General features: G+C 52.0%; 1 protein-coding gene and 1 long non-coding RNA gene across 9 annotated transcripts in view, besides 2 other annotated features; one reads left to right on the forward strand and one right to left on the reverse strand.

Moving 5' to 3' along the window:
* The window catches only part of EPHB2 (EPH receptor B2), a 210,663-nt gene that overhangs the window by 167,523 nt on the left and 23,388 nt on the right, over positions 1 to 19,752 (forward strand). For 2 of the 7 annotated variants that reach the window (NM_004442.7, XM_006710441.5), the window contains 4 exon segments: positions 3,999 to 4,123; positions 14,524 to 14,686; positions 17,112 to 17,220; positions 18,051 to 18,118. In NM_004442.7, coding sequence (NP_004433.2) covers positions 3,999 to 4,123; positions 14,524 to 14,686; positions 17,112 to 17,220; positions 18,051 to 18,118 — 465 coding nt within the window. 7 annotated transcript variants of the gene reach the window in all.
* Positions 1,190 to 2,094: an enhancer, noted in NCBI's record as "H3K4me1 hESC enhancer chr1:23206043-23206947 (GRCh37/hg19 assembly coordinates)". NCBI's record gives its function as "activates a minimal SCP1, AML or CMV promoter by ChIP-STARR-seq in primed H9 embryonic stem cells {active_cell/tissue: H9 hESC(primed)}" and the evidence as "EXISTENCE:reporter gene assay evidence [ECO:0000049][PMID:30033119]".
* On the reverse strand, positions 5,153 to 11,200 carry LOC124903874 (uncharacterized). 2 transcript variants are annotated; one of them, XR_007065534.1, is made up of 3 exons: positions 11,147 to 11,200; positions 5,404 to 5,501; positions 5,153 to 5,245 (listed from the first exon to the last, which is right to left on the reverse strand). It is a non-coding gene; the product is annotated as an uncharacterized LOC124903874 (long non-coding RNA). The 2 variants fall into 2 exon arrangements; XR_007065533.1 differs by having other exon boundaries at positions 5,179 to 5,245; positions 5,381 to 5,501.
* Positions 11,152 to 11,357: a silencer, noted in NCBI's record as "fragment chr1:23216005-23216210 (GRCh37/hg19 assembly coordinates)". NCBI's record gives its function as "represses an EF-1alpha promoter that drives an FKBP-Casp9 reporter gene in an ReSE screen in HepG2 liver carcinoma cells {active_cell/tissue: HepG2}" and the evidence as "EXISTENCE:reporter gene assay evidence [ECO:0000049][PMID:32094911]".

Consider the following 19,752-nt stretch of genomic DNA (forward strand, 5'->3'; position numbering starts at 1 on the left):
CCCAGTGCCTAGCATGGTGCCCATCCTGGGACAGGCACTCATTTAGTTGAAAAACAGTATGCTTCCTCCCATTAAGCTGCAAGTCCCTGGAAGGCTGGGATGCTGTGAGGTTCCTCTCCGGAGCCCCAGCACCCCGTATCATGTGGTTGGCATCATAGCAACTCCACAAACTGAAGAATTCTTCACAATGTCTCCCTCCTGAGGGGCGCCCAGCACCCCACTCAGACCTTCACATGCATTTCCACTGCCTTCTCACAGCGTCCTGGCCAGGTGAGGGTTCCTACTTGATAGGTGTGAAAACTGAGGCTCAGCAAGGCTAAAAGTACCTGCTTAAGGCCACACGTGAGTGAGTGGAGGAGCAGGGAGCTGCATACGGGTCTGTTGGACTCCACCCTCAGGGCTCCCCACCGCTAGGCTAGACGGCCTTGCCAGGGACTGGATGGGAGCGTCTTGACCTGGGCACTGTGCGGGTCTAGGCATGAAGCAGTAGGTGAGCGAGCACACCTGGCAGCAGCGCAATCCAAATACTCCTCACCCGTCCTTGCCCTTGCGGGCTCTGTGTGTCTGATGCTCCATTAATGTAACACATATCAACGTGCTGTAAGACAGCAGCACGCCTCTGACTCCACCCTTCACACATCCCTCCCCACCTGCTTGGCCGGCCCTCTGGGAGACAGACCCAGTATTTCAAGGAGCCCTGGAGGCTGCCTTACCCAGCCTCTCACCCCAGAACTGTCCTCAGGCCCCTGGAGGCAGGGGTGGGAGGCATCTCTCCCAGAATCTCTGGCAGCTGAGTTTCAAGCATCCTCCTTAGCTTCTCAGAGCACCCTGTCGCACCCCCACCTCCACCACACACACAGACCCAGTGGTCAGCCCCTGTGGGTTGGATGAGAGGGGCAGAGAAGCTGTGGGGAGGCATGGGGATTGGGGTGCTTCCCGGGCCAGCACAAGGGATGAGCCCCCAGATTGGCCCTGGTCAGTGACACTCCAGAAGGGCCTTATTTTGTTGTTTCACTGGGACACCGACCACTGACAAGCCCGTGATGGGCAGACAGCCTGGACTTCATAAAGAAGCTGGATCCTCGGCAGTCCAGGAGAGCAGAACACTCAACTCCTCACAAAGGCAGTTCCACGGGGAGGGATGGCGCTGGGGCTGAAGGCAGGTGGGAAGTAGGAACTGCTTTGAGACCCAGAGGGGGTCATAGCTAGGGCAGGATGACTCAGCTCCAAGCCCACCTCAGCTCCTCGCCAGCTGTGTGACCTTGGGGAAGTCACTGTGCCTCTCTGAGCCTCTTCTGCAAAGTGCAGATATTGACCCTCATCCTACATGATTGTTGAGGGGGTTAAATGAGATGCTGCAAGTCCATGCTCAGTGCACTGTGGCAGGTGACACCTGCAAACACCCACAGCACTGACAACATGCCAGGTGCTACACTGAGCACACAACCAGACCCCTGATCCCAAGAGGCCAATGCCCCTGGCAGGGCAAGGAGCCGAGCTGAGGGTCAGGCAGCCTCCCCTGGGTGTAAAAGGAACAGAGGCTCATCAGGGCCGCATGGACCAGGGTCTAAGTCCTTCTTGCAGGTGCTGCCACCTCATCTGGAGTGTCTCGGGACAATTTTCCATAGCTCCTTGGGGTGCGGGAGGGGAGTCTGGACCTGCCCAGGCCCACGCTGGTCCCCAGGCTCATTCTCGGTGTCAAGGGCTGCAGAGGAAGGACTGGCAGGGAACATTGGAGCCTCGAGGCCTCAGAGATCTTCTAGCCTGGCCAGGGGTGCCCAGGAGGAAGCCAGGTCCAGAGGGGAGGCAGATCGCCTAGGTCACACAGCCAGTTAGCAGCAAGGCAGAGAGGCAGTCTAGGGACAGACACAGAGCAGGAAATGGGTGAGTCAGCTCCAGCCTTCAAACCCCACAGCTGATGTTCAGGTTCCCCTGAACTCCTACCAGGCCTGCTCCACACTCACATCCCATATGGTCAGAGCCCCTGCAGAGCAGGACTTGGGGCTAGGAGAAGTGTCAGCCTCCACTTTCCAGTGTCCTTGTATTGGCTGAGACAGGACGTCTGCTTGTCACAGACCCGCCCAGGAATGAGGAAAGAATGCAGGAGGTGCTCCCTTCACCCTGGTGAGTCCTCAGCCCCTCCTGGGACCACAAAAATCTCGGGCCCAGAGAAGCAAGGAGGCTTGCCAGCGTCACACCACGGGTGTGGGGACCACATTGAGAGTCCCTCTCTGGCCAGTCCCACTCTGGAGCAAACAACTGCTCTGGCAAGATGCAGACCTGGGTCCAAATCCCGGCTCCCCCACTGACTGTGTGATCTCAGGAAGCCGTGTGCACCTCGGAACTTCAATGTCTTCACCTGTCAGCAGGGGTGATACACCCTCTCATCAACAGTCAACTCAGGAAGCGTGTGTAAAGGGCCCAGGGCCATGTCTACACAGAGGTGATGCTTTCTGGAGGTTTGCTCCATGTGAGAAGGAGGCAAAAGACAGCAGGCCGGATGCATTATGAAATAAGGACTCAAGAACAGGCTGTGTGCCATGGACCTACCTCGGCACCTCAGGCAGCTCACACCCCCTCTCTTGACCTCAGTTTCCACGACTGCAAAATAAGGGAACTGGGCCAGGCATGGCAGGCATGGTGGCTCACGCCTGTAATCCCAGCACTTTGAGAGGCTGATGCAGGAGGGGATCACTTAAGCCCAGGAGTTCGAGACCAACCTGGGCAACATGGCGAAACCCCGCCTCTACAAAAATTACACCAGGCACAGTGTCTCATGCCTATAACCCCAGCACTCTGGGAGACTGAGGCAGGCAGATCACCTGAGGTCAGGAGTTTGAGACCAGCCTGGCCAACATGGTGAAACTCTGTCTACTAAAAATACAAAATTAACCAGGTGTGGTGGTGCACACCTGTAATCCCAGCTACTCAGGAGACTGAGGTAGGAGAATCGCTTGAACCCAGGAGGCAGAGGTTGCAGTGAGCCAAGATCATGCCACTGCACTCTAGCTAGGGTGGCAGAGCGAGACTCCATCTCAAAAAAAAAATTAGCCAGGCATGGTGGCGCACACCTGTGGTCCCAGCTACCTGGGAGGCTGAGGTGGGAGGGTCACTTGAGCCCAGGAAGTTGAGGCTACAGTGAGCTGTGTTCATGCCACTGCACTCCAGCCTGGGCAACAGAGTCTCAAAAAATAACAATCATAAAATCAAATGAGGGAATTGTACTAAGGTATTTCTTCTCCCCACTCTTTGCGACAGAGTTTCACTCTTGTTGCCCAGGCTGGAGTGCAATGGCATGATCTCGGCTCACAGAAACTTCTGCCTCCCGCACTGAAGCGATTCTCCTGCCTCAGCCTCCTGAGTGCTGGGATTACAAGCATGCACCACCATGCCTGGCTAATTTTGTATTTTTAGTAGACACGGGGTTTCACCATGTTGGCAAGGCTGGTCTTGAACTCCTGACCTCAGGTGATCTGCCCACCTCAGCCTCCCAAAGTGCTGGGATTACAGATGTGAGCCGCTGCACCCAGCCATGTACTAAGGTATTTCTAAGCATCCTTCTAGCACTGCACACAGCCCCCTGACTGCTTGTCTCTTCATCTAACCACCTCTGTGAGAGCACTCACAGCACTGGTGGGAGGAATGGGAGGCGGAAATAACTGATTGATTTTATTGAGATGAAATTCACATGACATACAATTAACCATTTCTATCTCTACTGTCTCTCAACTTGATGTGGCCTGAGCTTCCCCAGGGCTGGTGAAGTCGTCAGTGTCTGACCTGAAGGTGCCCCATGAGAGCTCAGCAGCAGCACCCATAGCCCTGCATGAGCCCCTCTGCCCCCTGTCGGCTCCCCGAGACTGGCTCTGTGGCCTCAGCCAGATGCCCTTCCCTCTCTGATCCCACAGTGCCCCACCTGTCCGAGTACCTCTGAGGGTGGGCCAGAAGCTGCACCTTCTCATGCCTCCCTGATCCCTGACCTCTGGCCTCTCTTCCAGCTCCATCGGCAGTGTCCATCATGCATCAGGTGAGCCGCACCGTGGACAGCATTACCCTGTCGTGGTCCCAGCCGGACCAGCCCAATGGCGTGATCCTGGACTATGAGCTGCAGTACTATGAGAAGGTACCTATTGGCTGGGTGCTGTCCCCATCACCCACCTCCCTGAGGGCCCCTCTCCCAGGCTGAGGCCTGGGAGTTCTGCCCCACCGCAAGATGAGACGCACTGGTGCAGCAGAAAGAGCACTGGCCTTGGAGTCAGGCTGCCTGGCTCCCAATCCAGCTCCGCTCCTTCCCACTGTGAGACCTCAGGCAGGTGCCTTGACCTCTCTGGATCTCACTTTTCTGGTCTGGAGGATACACCCAGCAATCTCAGTGAAATGCAACAGTCACATCCCTTTCCCTACCACGACCCTTTCATCTTGACCTCAGTGGCTTGATGTTGGGAAAAACTGGGTTTCCAAAAAGCTGCACTTATGAAGTGATAATTAGTCACTCACCTCTTCTTCGACAGAGATTTGAAACAGCTCAAGAGAGCTTCCGCCTGCCCTGCTCTGAGTCCTGCTAAAACACCCACTTTCACTCGCCTGCATGCCCTTTGCATGGGGAGAGGTGATTTCACTTTGAGCTTTTAAATCAGACCTTAATTACTCCCTTTGGGTGGAAGCCCCTGGGATGGTAGAAGGATCACTGGACTAAGAGTGAGAAGCCGTAGGTTCAAATCCCAGCTCCGTCCTTCACCAGCTATGTGACCTTGGGCAGGCGTCTTTCTCCCTCTGAACCTCAGTTTCCACCTGTGTCGAGTGTGGGTGAGACCCCTCGCGGGGAGCTATGCAGGTTACGGAGAAAAGGCAGCACAGCACCCAGAATGGGACCTGGCCCTCAGCAGAGGCCATGTGTGTCCCTGGCCTTCCTCCTCTGCCCTGCCTGCTGCACAGTGGGCAATGGTGACAGGATGGGAGGCCAAGTGGATGTGGGGTCTGCACAGTACAGGGGCCAGGAGGTAGACAGCACAATTGCCCACCCACATGGCTGGACATCAGAGGCCCCAGGAAGCCTCTCCTTTGAATGATCACTTCTCTTACCTGCTCCAGGAGGCAACAAACAGCCACAGAGGCTGCAAGGGCACCTGGGAAAGGCATCGCGGGGCTTCCATTCAGACTAGGTGTCAATGACTGACAGGGAGGCCTTTGGTTGAGGGCAAGCCCACGGGGAACTGCAGATGGATGGAAGGGCTCTCCCTGAAGGCTGAGAGGAAGAGTGCAGTCAATTGCAGCCAGTCCTGCTGGAGCCCAACTTTCTAGAGCCCAGCCCGGCCTTCCCACTCTGTTAACTGCTGGATCGGCTAACCAGGCCGGTCTCCAGGGCCTTTCAAACACTTACCCAGCCTTTGCCGGCCGTCTTACCATTGCTTGCGTGCGTGTTCATCCCGTCCCCTAGGCAGTGCATTCCAAGAGGTCAGGGGCTACGTCTCCATTCACCACCTTCTCCCCGGCATCCAGGCCTGGCACCAAGGAGACACTTGATCAATATCAGTTGAATGAACAAGTGAATGAATCCTTTCCCTTGTGCCCTGGCCCCCAAACACCTCCTGGGACTTCATGCCTGCCGTCCCCCCACCCACCCACCTCACTGCCCACCCTTTTCCCTCATCCTCCCCTCATCTCTGCCTGTTGGAATCTTCAGGGTCCCTCCCAAATGTCACCTCCGCCACAAGTGAACATGGACTCTGCCCCTCTCTTAGAGCACCGCATGCGGGCGGAGGGTGCCTGTGTCTCCCGCAGGGGACCATGGACACTGAAGGAATGAATTGTGTGAATGAATGAGAGACATGAGTGATGGAGCCTGTGAATGAAAAAGGGAACTGGCTGGGCGCGGTGGCTCACGCCTGTAATCCCAGCACTTTGGGAGGCTGAGACAGGCGGATCACCTGAGGTCAGGAGTTCGAGACCAGCCTGGCCAACATAGCAAAACCCCATCTCTACTAAAAATACAAAAATTATCTGGGCATGGTGGCGCACACCTGTAATCCCAGCACTTTGGGAGGCCAAGGTGGGTGGATCACGGGCCTGACCAACATGGTGAAACCCCATCTCTACTGAAAATACAAAAATTAGCCCGGCGTGGTGGTGCACACCTGTAATCCCAGCTACTCAGGAAGCTGAAGCAGGAGAATCACTTGAACCCAGGAGACGGAGGTTGCAGTGAGCCAAGATCGCACCACTGCACTCCAGCCTGGGTGACAGAGTGAGATGCTGTCTCAAAAAAAAAAAAAAAAAAAAAAAGAGGGAACCAATGGGTGGCTGGATATGGATGGGTAGATAAATGGATGAATTCCTTCTGTCTAAACTGCTCCTATCCCTACATTCTCCACCTGGCCAGGTCTGACTCAACCTTCCAGATCTCAGCCTAACATCACCTCCTCAGAGAAGCCCTCCATCACTGCCCAGATGCCATCCAGCGCCCCATTTCATCTTCTCCTTGTGTCTTGCCCTTCTGCATAGCATTTATCACAATTATCATTTTTTAAGTGTTATGGAGTAATTGGGTATTTACTACCTCTACATTGAGCTAGAAAGTAAGTTCCTTGAGGGTGAAGATCTTGCCATGATCTCTGCTGTGTCCCCAGCGCCTGGCACACAGTAGGTACTCAAGAGCTGTTTGTTGGATGACTCAGGAAGTGGACACACGAGGGCCTGAGCTGTGGGTGGTGTGAGGGAAGCAGCCCCACCCCTCAGTGGGCCCTGGAGGGCCTCGAAGGAGCAGGAGTCCTGGGTCACCAAACCAGCCGCTCCCAGGCTCTGCAGGAGCCAGCATCTCTGCTCCCCGCAGCAGGAATAGCTTAGCAACTCAGAACCCCAAAAGGCAAAAAAAAAACTAATTAAGAAGCTTTGTGATTAAATGAAACTGAAAGTGTTAGTCCCCAAAGACGGGCAACGGAAATGAGGAATCCCAGGGCAGGTCCTGCCTGCGACCCATTTCCTACCACAGCGGGCAGGCCTGGGGAGGCTGCTGGAGGTGTGAACCGGGAGGCAGCTCTGCCCTACTTTCCGCCGCTGCCCGAGCATCCCCAGGCCGCTGCTGGGGTTGGCAGGACCTGCAGGATCTGCAGCAGCCAAGGTTACCATCTGCTCACATTTCATGAGCACTTGCTATGTGCTAAGCACGTCACCTCTAGCATCTCATTTATCCTCACCACATGGTTCTTCACCCCATTGGATGGAAGGGGAAACTGAGGCACGGAGAAGTTCCATAACTTGCCCAAGAGGATCCAGCAAGGATTTGTACCTATGGTCTCACTCTTTACTTGGCTCTCCTGCCTCCCAGATTTTTTTCCCCAGGGATGCTTCTGGGATGACCTTTAAGAGGTAGACAGGACCAGTCCCTGCCATGGAGAACGTTTAGGCATAAATGGTGAGGGGGGTCAGGTGGTAAGAGGCTGAAGGTGTGACAGCCTGAGGTACACCTGTGATGAGACGTGGCCCTACTTCTTTCAGTCCCTCCCCCAGGGCCTGGGGTACAGAGAGGGACAGCTTGGCATCTGCCAGTGGGGAGATGGACACTGGTTCAGTCAACTTTCACTCTCACCAGCTTTGGGTCAGGCACTAAGCTGGGTACCAGGAATCCTGAGGGTGCCAGGTGGCTCGGAGGCCTCAGGGACTTCACAGTCCAGGGAGAAAGAGTCAGACACTGAGAGCCATGAGACAAGGTTTGACACTAGCCACAGAAGGGTCAGCAAAGGTCCCAGGAGGGCACCAATAGGGGCCCACAGTCCTGGCATGAGTGAGGGAAAGCCTTCATTCAGTGACACTTAAGCTGAGTCTTGAAAGATGCTAGGAGTTCACCAAACGCGCAGGTGGGAACACAGTTGTTCTAGGCATCAGGAATCGCAGGTGCAAAGGCCCTAGGGCAGGGATGTGTGGGCTGCATTCAGGAAACAGACAAGGCAAGTGTGGCAGAAGCAGAAGCGGGAGCATCAGGGGAGGAGGTTGGGAGGGAGGCTGGGCTAATTGTCAAGGGCCTTCCAGCCTTGGGAGTCTGGATTCGATTTAAAGTATGATCGGATGGCTCTGGAATTATGCAATCTGACTCAGATTCCTTTAAAGATCCCTGTAGCTTGCTGTGTGGAGAATGCATTCCAGGGAGACATGGAGACACAGGGAGCGCCTGTACAGGGCTCCCAGGGGACGCTAAGTGAGAAATGATGGTAGGTAGCATGGGCTGGGGGAGTTGGCAGTGGAGATGGCAAATGCCAGCAGAGTCTTTTTTTTTTTTTTTTTTTTTTTGAGACAGAGTTTCGCACTTGTTGCCCAGGCTGGAGTGCAGTGGCACAATCTCGGCTCACCACAACCTCTGCCTCCCGGATTCAAGCGATTCTCCTGCCTCAGCCTTGCAAGTAGCTGGAATTACAGGCATGCACCACCATGCCCGGCTAATTTTGTATTTTAAGTAGAGACGGGGTTTCTCCATGTTGATCAGGCTGGTCTCAAACTTCTGACCTCAGGTGATCCGCCCACCTCAGCCACCCAAAGTGCTGGGATTACAGGGGTGAGCCACCGCGCCCGGCCAGCAAAGTCTATATTTTAAAGCCCGGAGGACCCAGGAAATGTGAAGGGTGACTCCTAGGAGATGGAGGTGCCTTTTCCTGGGGCAGATGCAGGTTTGTGATTTGTAGGTGTGGTGCTTACTGGGGCAAAGGGGTTGGGGTTCAGGGAGGATAGAGAACAGCAGCCAGGAGAGTGTGCAGAGGAAGAACCAGAAGATAGGATCCTGGAGAATGCCAGGGTTTAAGGAGGGGAAGAAAGCGGAGTTGATGAAAATATTAGAGGAGGTGCTGGCAGAGGGGTAGGAGCAGAACCAAGAGTCATGTCTCTCCCTGACCTCTCAGACAAGTCTGTGATATGCCAGCCACCACCACCAGGAAGGGACAGCTAGGCTGCAGGTGGTAGGATTTATTCCAGCAAGTCCACAGCCGGCTGTTACCTAACACAGGAATCCTCCTTGTGTCTGCTATTAGATTCTTTCCTGAATGCTCCAGTCTTCCTAGGAAGGGAAGTCAGATACTGAGCCCTGCAGGCCTGTGTGGCCCCCACCTCCACCTCTTTCCCACTCCTTTCCTTCTTCAGAAAGGGCTCTCTAGGAGCGGGCCCTCCGTTTGGCCTTCCCCAAGCCCCACTGGGATTTCCCAGCCTGCCTGGAGTCCAGAGCTGACAACTGCGTTGCTAGATGGCTTCTGGAGGCCACTGATGAATGGCGGTGGCCTTGTGCAGACCCAGGCCTGGCTGCTTCCGTCAGTTCCAACGCCCCAGGGGAGGTGGCCTCCTTTGGCAGCTACCCCAAAGCACACAGGTTCAGGATCCCACTGGTCCCCCAAGAACTCAAGGAGAAGAGCCATTCATGAGGCCACCTGTGGTCGATGGCCCCTGGTAGCCCACATCAATTTTAGAATTTATTTAACAGAAAATGAAGAGGAAGGACATTCCAGGCAGAAGGAGCAAAGGTTGGAGGATGGGGGGTGAAACTATGAAAGTTCAGGCCATATTCAGCTTGTTGCCCAGTACCTGGAGTAGGATCTACCTGGAGAGGTTTGTCCACTCATTCATTCACTTTTGCATTCATCCATCCATTTAATGAACATGGGAAAGGGCTTACTCTATAATGGTTTTTTTGTTTGTTTGTTTTTTGGGGGTTTTTTTTGTGTGTGTGACAACAGAGTTTTGCTCTTGTTGCCCAGGCTGGAGTGTCATGACGCAAGCTCACTGCAACCTCCGTCTCCCGGGTTCAAGTGATTCTCCAGCCTCAGTCTCCCAAGTAGCTGGGATTACAGGCATGTGCCACCACGCTCGGCTAATTTTTTGTATTTTTAGTAGAGATGGGGTTTCACCATGTTGGTCAGGCTGTTCTCGAACTCCTGACCTCAGGTGATCCAGCCCTCGGCCTCACAAAGTGCTGGGATTACAGGCATGAGCCACTGCGCCTGGCCTCTATAATGGTTTTGATGATAACAGTGATGGTGGGAGCCAACATTTATTAAGTCTTTTTATGTGCTAGAGACTGTGCTAAAAAGCTTTACCTGTATTTTCCTTTTAAATCTCCAAAACCACCTTTTATGGTACCTACTTGCATTAACCCACTTTAGAGATGAGAAAACTGAGGCCTGGAAGGCTTAAGACATGCACCCAATGCCTCACTGGCCCTAAGCTACCAGGTAAGTGCTCAGACTAAGGACTAGTGGATTTCATACTGAATCTCTTCCCATCGTCCCTTGGTGCTTAATCACTGTTCAGATAAAGGTACCCCAGGGAGAGGAGAGACCGAAGGGAATTGGCGTCTCTCGGGCATCTCCAATGTGCCAGGCACTACCTGATCAAATTTTATCTTCACAACAGCCCTGAGAGCTTGGCATTTATTGTTCCATTTATTTGGAATAGAAAACAGGGGCTCAGGGAAGTGAAGGGTCTTTCCCAAGGTCACAGTGCAATCAAGTGAAAAAACAAGGATATGAAGCAGCTTCCAGCTGGGTACAGTGACTCATGTCTGTAATCCCAGCACTTTGGGAAGCTGAGACGGGTGGATCATTTGAGTCCAGGAGCTCCAGACCAGCCTGGGTAACATGATGAAACCCTGTCTCTACCAAAAATACAAAAATTAGCCGGGTGTGATGGTATGTGCCTGTAGTCCTAGCTACTAGGGAGGCTGAGGTGGGAGGATCGCTTGTGTCTGGGAGGTCGAGGCTGCAATGGGCCATAATCGCGCCACTGCACTCCAGCCTGGGTCACAGAGCAACACCCTGTCTCAAAAATATAGTCAGACAGAGAGAGACAAAAATGAAAAATGAAACAGCTTCCAATCCCTTGCCCAGCTTTAATGAAGGGAGCTGCTCAGGTTGGTTCCTCACTCTCATGAGGCACCTATGGAACCAGCAGCCGCCTCTCATCTCCCTCACATAATCAGGGGCTTAAAACCTCCAACATCTCTAAGTGGGCACCCACCCAGTTTACAGAATCTAACCTGTTTTCAAGTCTGAGCAGAGCCCATGTTGTACAGTGGCACTTAGTGTCCATGTCTGGTACTGCATCCCAGGTTTTGTAGATTTTTGAATACCAGTTTAATGTTCATTCATTATGTCAATAATTAGTGAACACTTACTGTGTGGCAAACCTGGGGGGATCCAGAGATGAGCAAGACATGGTCCCTGGCCTCAGGAAATCCACATCCTTAAAGAAGATGGACAGGTATATTAGGACAATAGGTGGGAGGGGAGACAATTTGGACCCACAACCCCTGGCTGGGACATCTGGGAAGTCTCCCCAGCAGAGGTGGCACTTGCGCTGAGTCTTGAACGATGAGTAGGACACTGCAAGACAAGTGAGGAAAGGGTATTTCAGACAGGGGCAACAGTGCTTGCAAAAACTCAAGAGTGTCCATGGAAGGTAGAGTTGCTAGATAAAATAGAAGACACATGATTACATTTGAATTTTTTAAAAATAAATGTTTTAGTACAAATATGTCCCAAATATTGCACGGGGCGTACTTATACCAAAATGTATTTGTTGTTCATCTGAAATTTAAATTTGACTGAGCAGCATCCTATATTTGTGTTTGCTAAATCTGGCAGCTCTACCAAGGAAGGGGGAAAGAGTTAGGGATGGCAGGAACCTAGGAAACATTAGGGATGTTGCAGGAGAGACTGCAAAATGGTGGGTCATGAAGGGTCTGGAATGCCAGGCTAAGGAGTCGGCCTTCACCCTGTGGGCACTGGAGAAGGACTTTGTGTGAGGGACCCCAAACTTGGTACAGGGGAACAAACACAAGCCCTCCCTCATGGGCTTAGAGTTAAGGGGGCGAGAGGAGCCTCAGCTGGAAGTTGAGGGGGCATAGCAGAAACCCCCTCCTGTGGCACCCACAGCAAGTGCTCTGGGACTGAGAAGGAAGAGGTGCATCTGGCTGGGATGTCAAGGAGGCTTCCTGGAGGAGGAGGCAGATGATCTGGCTTGGCAAAAGAGACTTCCTCTCTGCTGCTGCCCCACCCAGCTATCCCTGCCTCCCCCTGTTATGGGGGTGGTAGAGACACATCTTCAAGTCAGCCCCCTTCATATCCCCTACATCCCAAGCTTTTTCTCCTCTCCTTTCCTCTGAACCTGCTGCCCCTTCTGCCAGGCATGCACATCTTTGTCTGGGTGGTTCCTGTTTGTTCTTTGAGATCCCATTCCAGTGACCCCCACTCACGAGGGAGCTTTCCTGACTTCACCTGGTAGCCCCTGATATGGTTTGGCTGTGTCCCCGCCCAAATCTCATCTTGAATTGAAGTTCCCATAATCCCCACCTGTTGTGAGAGGGACCTAGTAGGAGGTAATTGAATCACGGGGGTGGTTACCCCCATGCTTTTCTCATGATAGTGAGTGAGTTTGCACAAGATCTGATGGTTTTATAAGGGGCTTTTCCCCCTTTGCTCGGCACTTCTCTCTCCTGCCACCATGTGAAGAAGTATGTGTTTGCTTCTTCTTCTGCCATGGTTGTAAGTTTCCTGAGGCCTCCCCAGGCATGAGGAACTGTGGGTCAATTTCACTTCTTTCCTTTATAAATTACCTAGTCTTGGGTATGTGTGTATAGCAGCATGAGAAGGGACTAATGCAGCCCCCGTCCCAGACCAGGTCACATGTCCCTCGGTATGTGCTTACCCTATCAGTGTGAGCCTGTTATACCTATTGATTCATTTTATTATCTGAACAAACTCTGAGGTAGCTACTGTTACTATCCCCCTTTTACAGATGAAGACACAGAGAAGTTAAGGAACTTGCCCAAGGTCACAGAGGTCATATATACTAGAGCCAGGATTTGAACCCAAGAAGTCTGGCTCCAGCTTGTGATCTTAACCTCCATGCTATAAAGCCTGTAATAACATTGCACGCACTGAATCTTCATTGTTTTGGGAAGGTTTTCAAGGGCTCCGTGCACTCTGTGATGTGTGTGTGACTGGCATGTACAACTAGGTGTGTGTTTTTCTGGATAAGCATTCACAGATTTTCGTCAGAAAAAAATTGTCTCAGGAGCTTCATGATCTTCAAAGGGTTGGGATCCTCACATGCTTACTTTTCTGGACTGAGCTCTCCAAGGCCAGGGCCTGTGCCTTAGCTCCCTGTAGAACCCCAGTCCCAGCCTAGTGCAAAGAGGATATTTGGGGAAGTTTTGCCGGGCGGCTGACAGATGCCTAAACGAGCATCATCTGTATCTGATCCAACCACATCTCCACTCCCACTGCAGCAGCTGGATCTTTGTCCTGTCCTAGATTCCTTGGATCGCCCTGGGTAACATTCAGGAAGCCAAAATTGGTGTTCTTCATCTCTCAAAGGAGAAGACACTAGGTTTGGGGTACCCAAAGGCATGGACATTAGATAGAGGTGGCTCCATGCAAGAGTCTGGTTTCTTTTTTTTTTGTTGTTGTTGTATTTTTTTAGATAGGGTTTTGCTCTGTTGCCCAGGCTACAGTGCAGTGGCATAATCATGGCTTACTGTGGCCTTGACCTCCCAAGCTCAAGTGATCCTTTAACCTCAGCCTCCCAAGTAGCTGGGACCACAAGCATGTATCTCCATGCCCAGCTAATTTTTTTTTTTTTTTTTTAGAGAAAGGGTCTTGGTATGTTGCCCAGACTGGTCTCAAACTACTGGGCTCAAGTGATCCTCCCACCCTGGTCTCCCAGAGTTCTGGGATTACAGGTGTGAGCCACCGTATCCAGCCTGGTTTTGAATCTCAAAGCAACCCTGAACTGATAGTGACCCTGAGCATCATTTTCCCATCTGGACCTTAGTTCTTGACTCACCCAAGTGTGCTGAGGCTGAACAAGGGCTCTTACGCTTAACTCATCAAGGCATAGGGCAGGGAAGGGGATACAGAAGTGAATGAGGTGGGCCTTCTCCCTTCGGTCTCCAAGAACTCACAGTATAGTCCTCAGGATCTGCACATAGGAACCACTCAATACATGCATATTAGTCAGCTTTTCCTGAGATAACACTGCAAAACAAACAATTCCAAAAATCCAACACCTTCCAACAAGTGGCTATTTTTCTTGACCATGGGTTTATGTCTGTGGGTCAATAGGGGTGGCCCTGTTTCATCCTAAGAGTTGGGTCATGGTCTCCTCCTGTTTCTCATGCTGGAGCCAGTGGTTACCCAGTGCAAGTTCCTCTCATGGCAGAAGCACAAGAGGCCAAGACAAATTGGCAGGGATCTGTAAAGCCTCTGCTTGCATCATGTCCACTAGAATGTTCCAGTGGCCAACACAAGTCATGTGGACAAATTCAACATCCATAAGACAGAGACATATACTCTGCCTACCTTTGTGGGCAGTGTTGAAAAGTAACATGGCAAAAGGCATAATTCTATTAAAGGGAGGGGATGAAGAATTGGGAACCATAGATGTTTATCCAATGGCCAGACCTGCCCCCAATGTGGCAGGAGCAGGCAGTGGGCTCTGGACCCACTATGAGCCACAACCTCACTAATTTTCTTCTCTGTTCCTCGGCAGGAGCTCAGTGAGTACAACGCCACAGCCATAAAAAGCCCCACCAACACGGTCACCGTGCAGGGCCTCAAAGCCGGCGCCATCTATGTCTTCCAGGTGCGGGCACGCACCGTGGCAGGTTACGGGCGCTACAGCGGCAAGATGTACTTCCAGACCATGACAGAAGGTGAGCAGAGTCCAGCGGGCAAGAGGAGGGCACAGACTCCACAAACAGAACAAACTCAAGGGTCACCATTCTCATGAAGCACCTTTGTGCAGATTAGAAAAGGCACTCCCTTCTAGATGTCAGCCCTCCCTCCCTCCTAATTTCGAACCTTTGTGCACAACCATATATAAAAGCCCTGTTTCTGTTCCCGTTGTGTCAGCCAGGCCACTTCCTTTCCCAGGACTCTGGGGAGCTCAGCCCTAACTTCCAGAGCCACTCTGAGCAAGTCATGCATTCCTTGGTCCAATTTTTTCTCATCTATAAAATGAAAGCATCACATTCAATCTGAGAAAGTAAGCATATTTTATCCATACACAACTCCAGTGACTTACAACTGGACTGAGAAGGATTCTGAAGCTGCATCCGAGTTCAGCAGGAAGAAGTTCTGGGATAGATTAGTACTGTCTGCTCCAGGCAAGGGAATGGGAGATCGTAACCTGTGTGCTACGTTTCCCACTCTGGAACTACATGGTCTCTAAGCACCATTCCTGCTCTAATAATCTTTAGAAGCAGCACAGTTTAAAGAATGTGGGCTCTGAAGCCAAAGAAATGAGGATTCCATTTCTGATTTAGCCCTAACTGTATGTGCCTGAACAAGTCACCTTACCTCTCCAACCCTCAGCTTTCTCATTTATAAATGGGGGTGATAACAATGATCTCATTATCACTATCATTATCAAACTAGTGTAAGAATAAGAGACCTAGCACAGGGTTGGCACTAAGTCCCAAGCATTTCAGCACTCACCAGATTGTAGATAAGTCATAGTTTGTCATTGCTGTGTGTCTGGAATCCCTTTTACCAGCCAGTCAAACTCCAGGGTGACTCTGTCTGACCAGATTCCAGCATCCTCTCTTAGTATCTGTTCTAACCACTAGGCGTGCCTTGGCCTTTGCCTGGTTGAACATTTCAGAGGCTCCTGGACTCCTAAATTCTTGCCTTATCACAAAAATCCTCCCTATGGCTCTACCATCTCTTCCAGCACTCACCTCCTCTGTAATCTTTCTGTTCCTCGTGGCAGCTTTTTTCACCTCTCTAAGCCTTTTTCCATGTTGGGTGAGTGTCATTGACTGGGAACTAGGAGACTGTCCCAAGATCCTTTTATTAATTCAACAAATGTGGCTGAGGCCTTGCCACTTACCAGGCCAAGTGTGGGCACTAAGGTCCCAGAGCGCGTCCCTGATCTCAGCAAGTTCCTGTTCTGGTCAGTGAGACAGTTGAGAAGTAAAAATAGCTAGGCGCGGTGGCTCACACCTGTAATCCCAGCACTATGGGAAGCCAAGGCGGGTGGATCACCTGAGGTCAGGAGTTCGAGACCAGCCTGGCCAACATGGTGAAACCTCATCTCTACTAAAACTACAAAATCAGCTGGGCGTGATGGCAGGCACCTGTAGTCACAGCTGCTGGAGAGACTGAGACAGGAGAATCGCTTGAACCCGGGAAGCAGAGGTTGCAGTGAGCCGAGATCGTGCCATTTCACTCCAGCCTAGTGACAAGAGTGAAACTCCCACTCCAAAAAAAAAAAAAAGAAGTAAAAATAATAAAATGTAAATCAATGATAGTGTTAATGGCATTGAGTGGTGGTTTCCAAGAGCCAGGCTAATGCCAAGTGTATCTTCTGCATTCTTCCAATTCAACTCCCACCCTTGGATCAAGCAGACCTGGGTTCAAATGCCTGGCTGGGGTGCTACTTTCTTTGTGACCTCAGGCACATCATGACCTCACTAAGCCCAGTTTCTTCATCTGTAAAATGGGGTAATCATAGGACTGTTCCGAGATACGTAACATACTTAGCACAGTGAGTGACACATAAAACACTCAGGGACAAGAATAGTTAATATTGATTGAATGCTTGCTTAGGTGCCAGGTGTTGTTCTAAGTGCTTTACCCAACAATCCTGAGATAGGAAATATTATTCTCCCCATTTTACAGATAAGGCAACTGAGGCACAAAGAGGTAAGTCACTTTGCCTTATCACACAGTCACTTTGCCTTACTAAGTCACTTTGCCTTACTATCACACAGATAGTAAGTGGCACCATCGGGAGTCAAACCCGGAGAGTCTGTCTCCAGAGTCTGCGCTTTTAACTGCCTGTGTGTGTGTCAGCTGTTATTATTGTTGGTTTTCACATCAACATTGAGATGCAGGAATTATGCCCATTTTATGGATGAGAAGTTGAGGATTGGAGCAGTTCATGGACTTGTCCAGGGTTACTTGTGAGACAGTGACAGCCCCTTTTCTGCATGGGCATGTAACAGGTGCTCTGTCAGGGGCAGGAACAGAGTCTAGGGATCCCAGGAGACCCAGCAGCATGGCAGGGGGTAGGGGACAAGGGTATTACGACTCCCACAGCCAGGCTGAGAATGCCCTACCATGCTTTCTCCCCAGCCGAGTACCAGACAAGCATCCAGGAGAAGTTGCCACTCATCATCGGCTCCTCGGCCGCTGGCCTGGTCTTCCTCATTGCTGTGGTTGTCATCGCCATCGTGTGTAACAGGTGGGTGGGGTCTCCAGGCTTGGCCAGGCCTGGCTGTCCCAGATGGCTTCTCTCTCTCTATTCAGTCATCCCTCTACAGTGCTGGTGAACCGAGGAGGCATTCTCACAATTGCAGGGAGAGATGTGGGTAGGAAGTGGAAGGCTTCAAGTGGCTTCCCACTACCTAAGCGGCCACCATGTGCAATCCATCCCTTTGGGATAGGCATCGCCCCTGACAAGCCCACTATTGAAAGAGGTGGCACATTGAGACACTAATGCAGTGGGCAAGAAAGATTGCAGGATGCTAGGAGTTTAGTGGGTGGTGGAAGGGGTATACAGATTGTCCTGCTTTCTGCATGAGTTCAGGCCCCCTGGCTGAGGTGCTGGAAAGACAGGGAGGACTTAGGAGGAGGAGGGGGGAGGGACCTCCCAAGTGGCTAGGACGGTACAAGCAAAGGCAAGAGGGTGGGGCCAGTTCCTTGACTTCTGCTGGGTATAATGCAAAGAAAGATTCTCTTCTTCTTTAAAGAGTTCCCCATTTCAGAATAGACTGAACCATAAGTTCAGGTGGACAGAAGCCCCTGGGGTTTCTGGGGCCAGAAGCCGTGGCTGGAAGATGACTTTACTTTTTGAAGGGGGCTTGGCTGGAGGGGGAGGAACTGGGGAAGATGAGAACCTGGACTTGAGGTGGGAGGAGTGGGAAGGGACAAGTGGGGCCAAAAGGGGCAGGCAGGGAGCCCTCTGGCAGGGGTGTGGCTTCTAGGGCCTGCCCACCCTCTCCCTATCACCTACTGTGGCTCCCAGCTCCCTGGGCGCCTTCAGGTGGCTCCAGCCCTTTGCTCTTGTTCCAGAAGACGGGGGTTTGAGCGTGCTGACTCGGAGTACACGGACAAGCTGCAACACTACACCAGTGGCCACAGTATGTACACACCCAAGCGGGCTGGAACCCTTGGGCCCTTCACTGTCGGTTCCCCAGTGACCTCTTAAGCCATCTTTGACCTCCTTCTGCCATGCTGCAGGCAGACAATGTCAAGTGGTTGCCTGGTTGCACTAAGCTCACTCTCACCTCTAGGCCTTTGCAAGTGCGGTTCCCTCTGCCTCAAGCGCTCTCCCCCTTTCCCTTTACCCATGTAGCTCTTACTCATCCCTCAGGCCTCACCATACACACACTCCTCCAAGCAGCCTTCCCCGACCCCACCCCATCCTGGGTTTAGGGGCTGCATCTGTGCTCGCAGGCTGCATTGAGGTGGCTGTTTCTTGTCTCACCACCGTGATAGTGGTGGCCGCTGGAGACCTGGAATTGTGTCTGATATTTACCGTGTCTCCCCAGCACCAGCGTGGTGCCCAGCACATAGTAGGCACTAGACATATTTGCAGAATAAATAAATGAATCAAACTGAATAAATAAGATGATGAGGACTCTGGGCTCTGGCCCAGGAGGTGAGAAAAGCAGCAGGAGTCCCTCCTTCCTTCTCTTCCTCTCACTCTGTGGCTCCAGACCCCTGTTCTTCCCCAGTGACTCCTCTGGTGGCCTCTTCCCCTTACCCAGTGCCCTCATTTCTCCCACCGTCCCATCCTATATCAGGCCAGGGCTGGGGATGTATGTGCCACACACACAGAGATGTCCCCTCCTGAAGGGCCAGAGAGAAAAGTAGATCATAGATTCCTCTCTCCACTTGACCTGGGCAGAACCAGTAATCAGGGAGTCGGGGGAGAGCAAGAACCTTAGTCCTTACTTCAGCTCACTCAGCAAAAAGGAGTTCTAAATGGGTCCAACATTCATTCTCAAACTGTACTCAGTGTGACGCCCTGAGGTTCCTCAGGTGCCTGCCTCTGGGTACAGAGGCCCATCATCATATCCCTGCCCTTGTCACACAACTGTCGTGGGCCTACCACATATGCCAGGCACTGTTCTAGGTGCTGGGGATCCCAGCACCTGGTCATAAGGCCAGGCACAGTAGCTCACACCTGTAATCCCAGCACTTTGGGAGGCTGAGGCAGGCAGATCACTTGAGGCCAGGAGTTGAGACCAGCCTTGCCAACATGGAGAAATGCTGTCTCTACTAAAAATACAAAATTTAGCCAGGCATGGTGGTGTGTGCCTGTAATCCCAGCTACTCAGGAGGCTGAGGCAGGTAAATTGCTTGAACCCGGGAAGCAGAGGTTGCAGTGAGCAGAGATCGTGCCACTGCACTCCAGCCTGGGTGACAGAGCAAGACTCTGTCTCAAAATAAAAAAATAAATAAATAAACATATAAGGCCAGGCACAGTGGCTCACGCCTGTAATCCCACCACTTTGGGATGCCAAGGCAGGTGGATCACTTGAACACAGAAGTTCAAGACCAGCCTGGGAAACATGATGAAACCCTGTCTCTACCAAAAAAAGTTCAAAAATTAGCTGGGTGTGGTCATGTACGTCTGTAGTTCCAGCTACTTGGGAGGTTGAGGTGGGAGAATAGCTTAAGCCCAGGAGGCGGAGGTTGCAGTGAGCCGAGGTTGCAGTGAGCCCAGATCGCACCACTGCAGTCCAGCCTGGGTGACAGAGCAAGACCC

Source organism: Homo sapiens, chromosome 1, assembly GCF_000001405.40.
Source record: "Homo sapiens chromosome 1, GRCh38.p14 Primary Assembly".
Taxonomy (NCBI): Eukaryota; Metazoa; Chordata; class Mammalia; order Primates; family Hominidae; genus Homo; species Homo sapiens.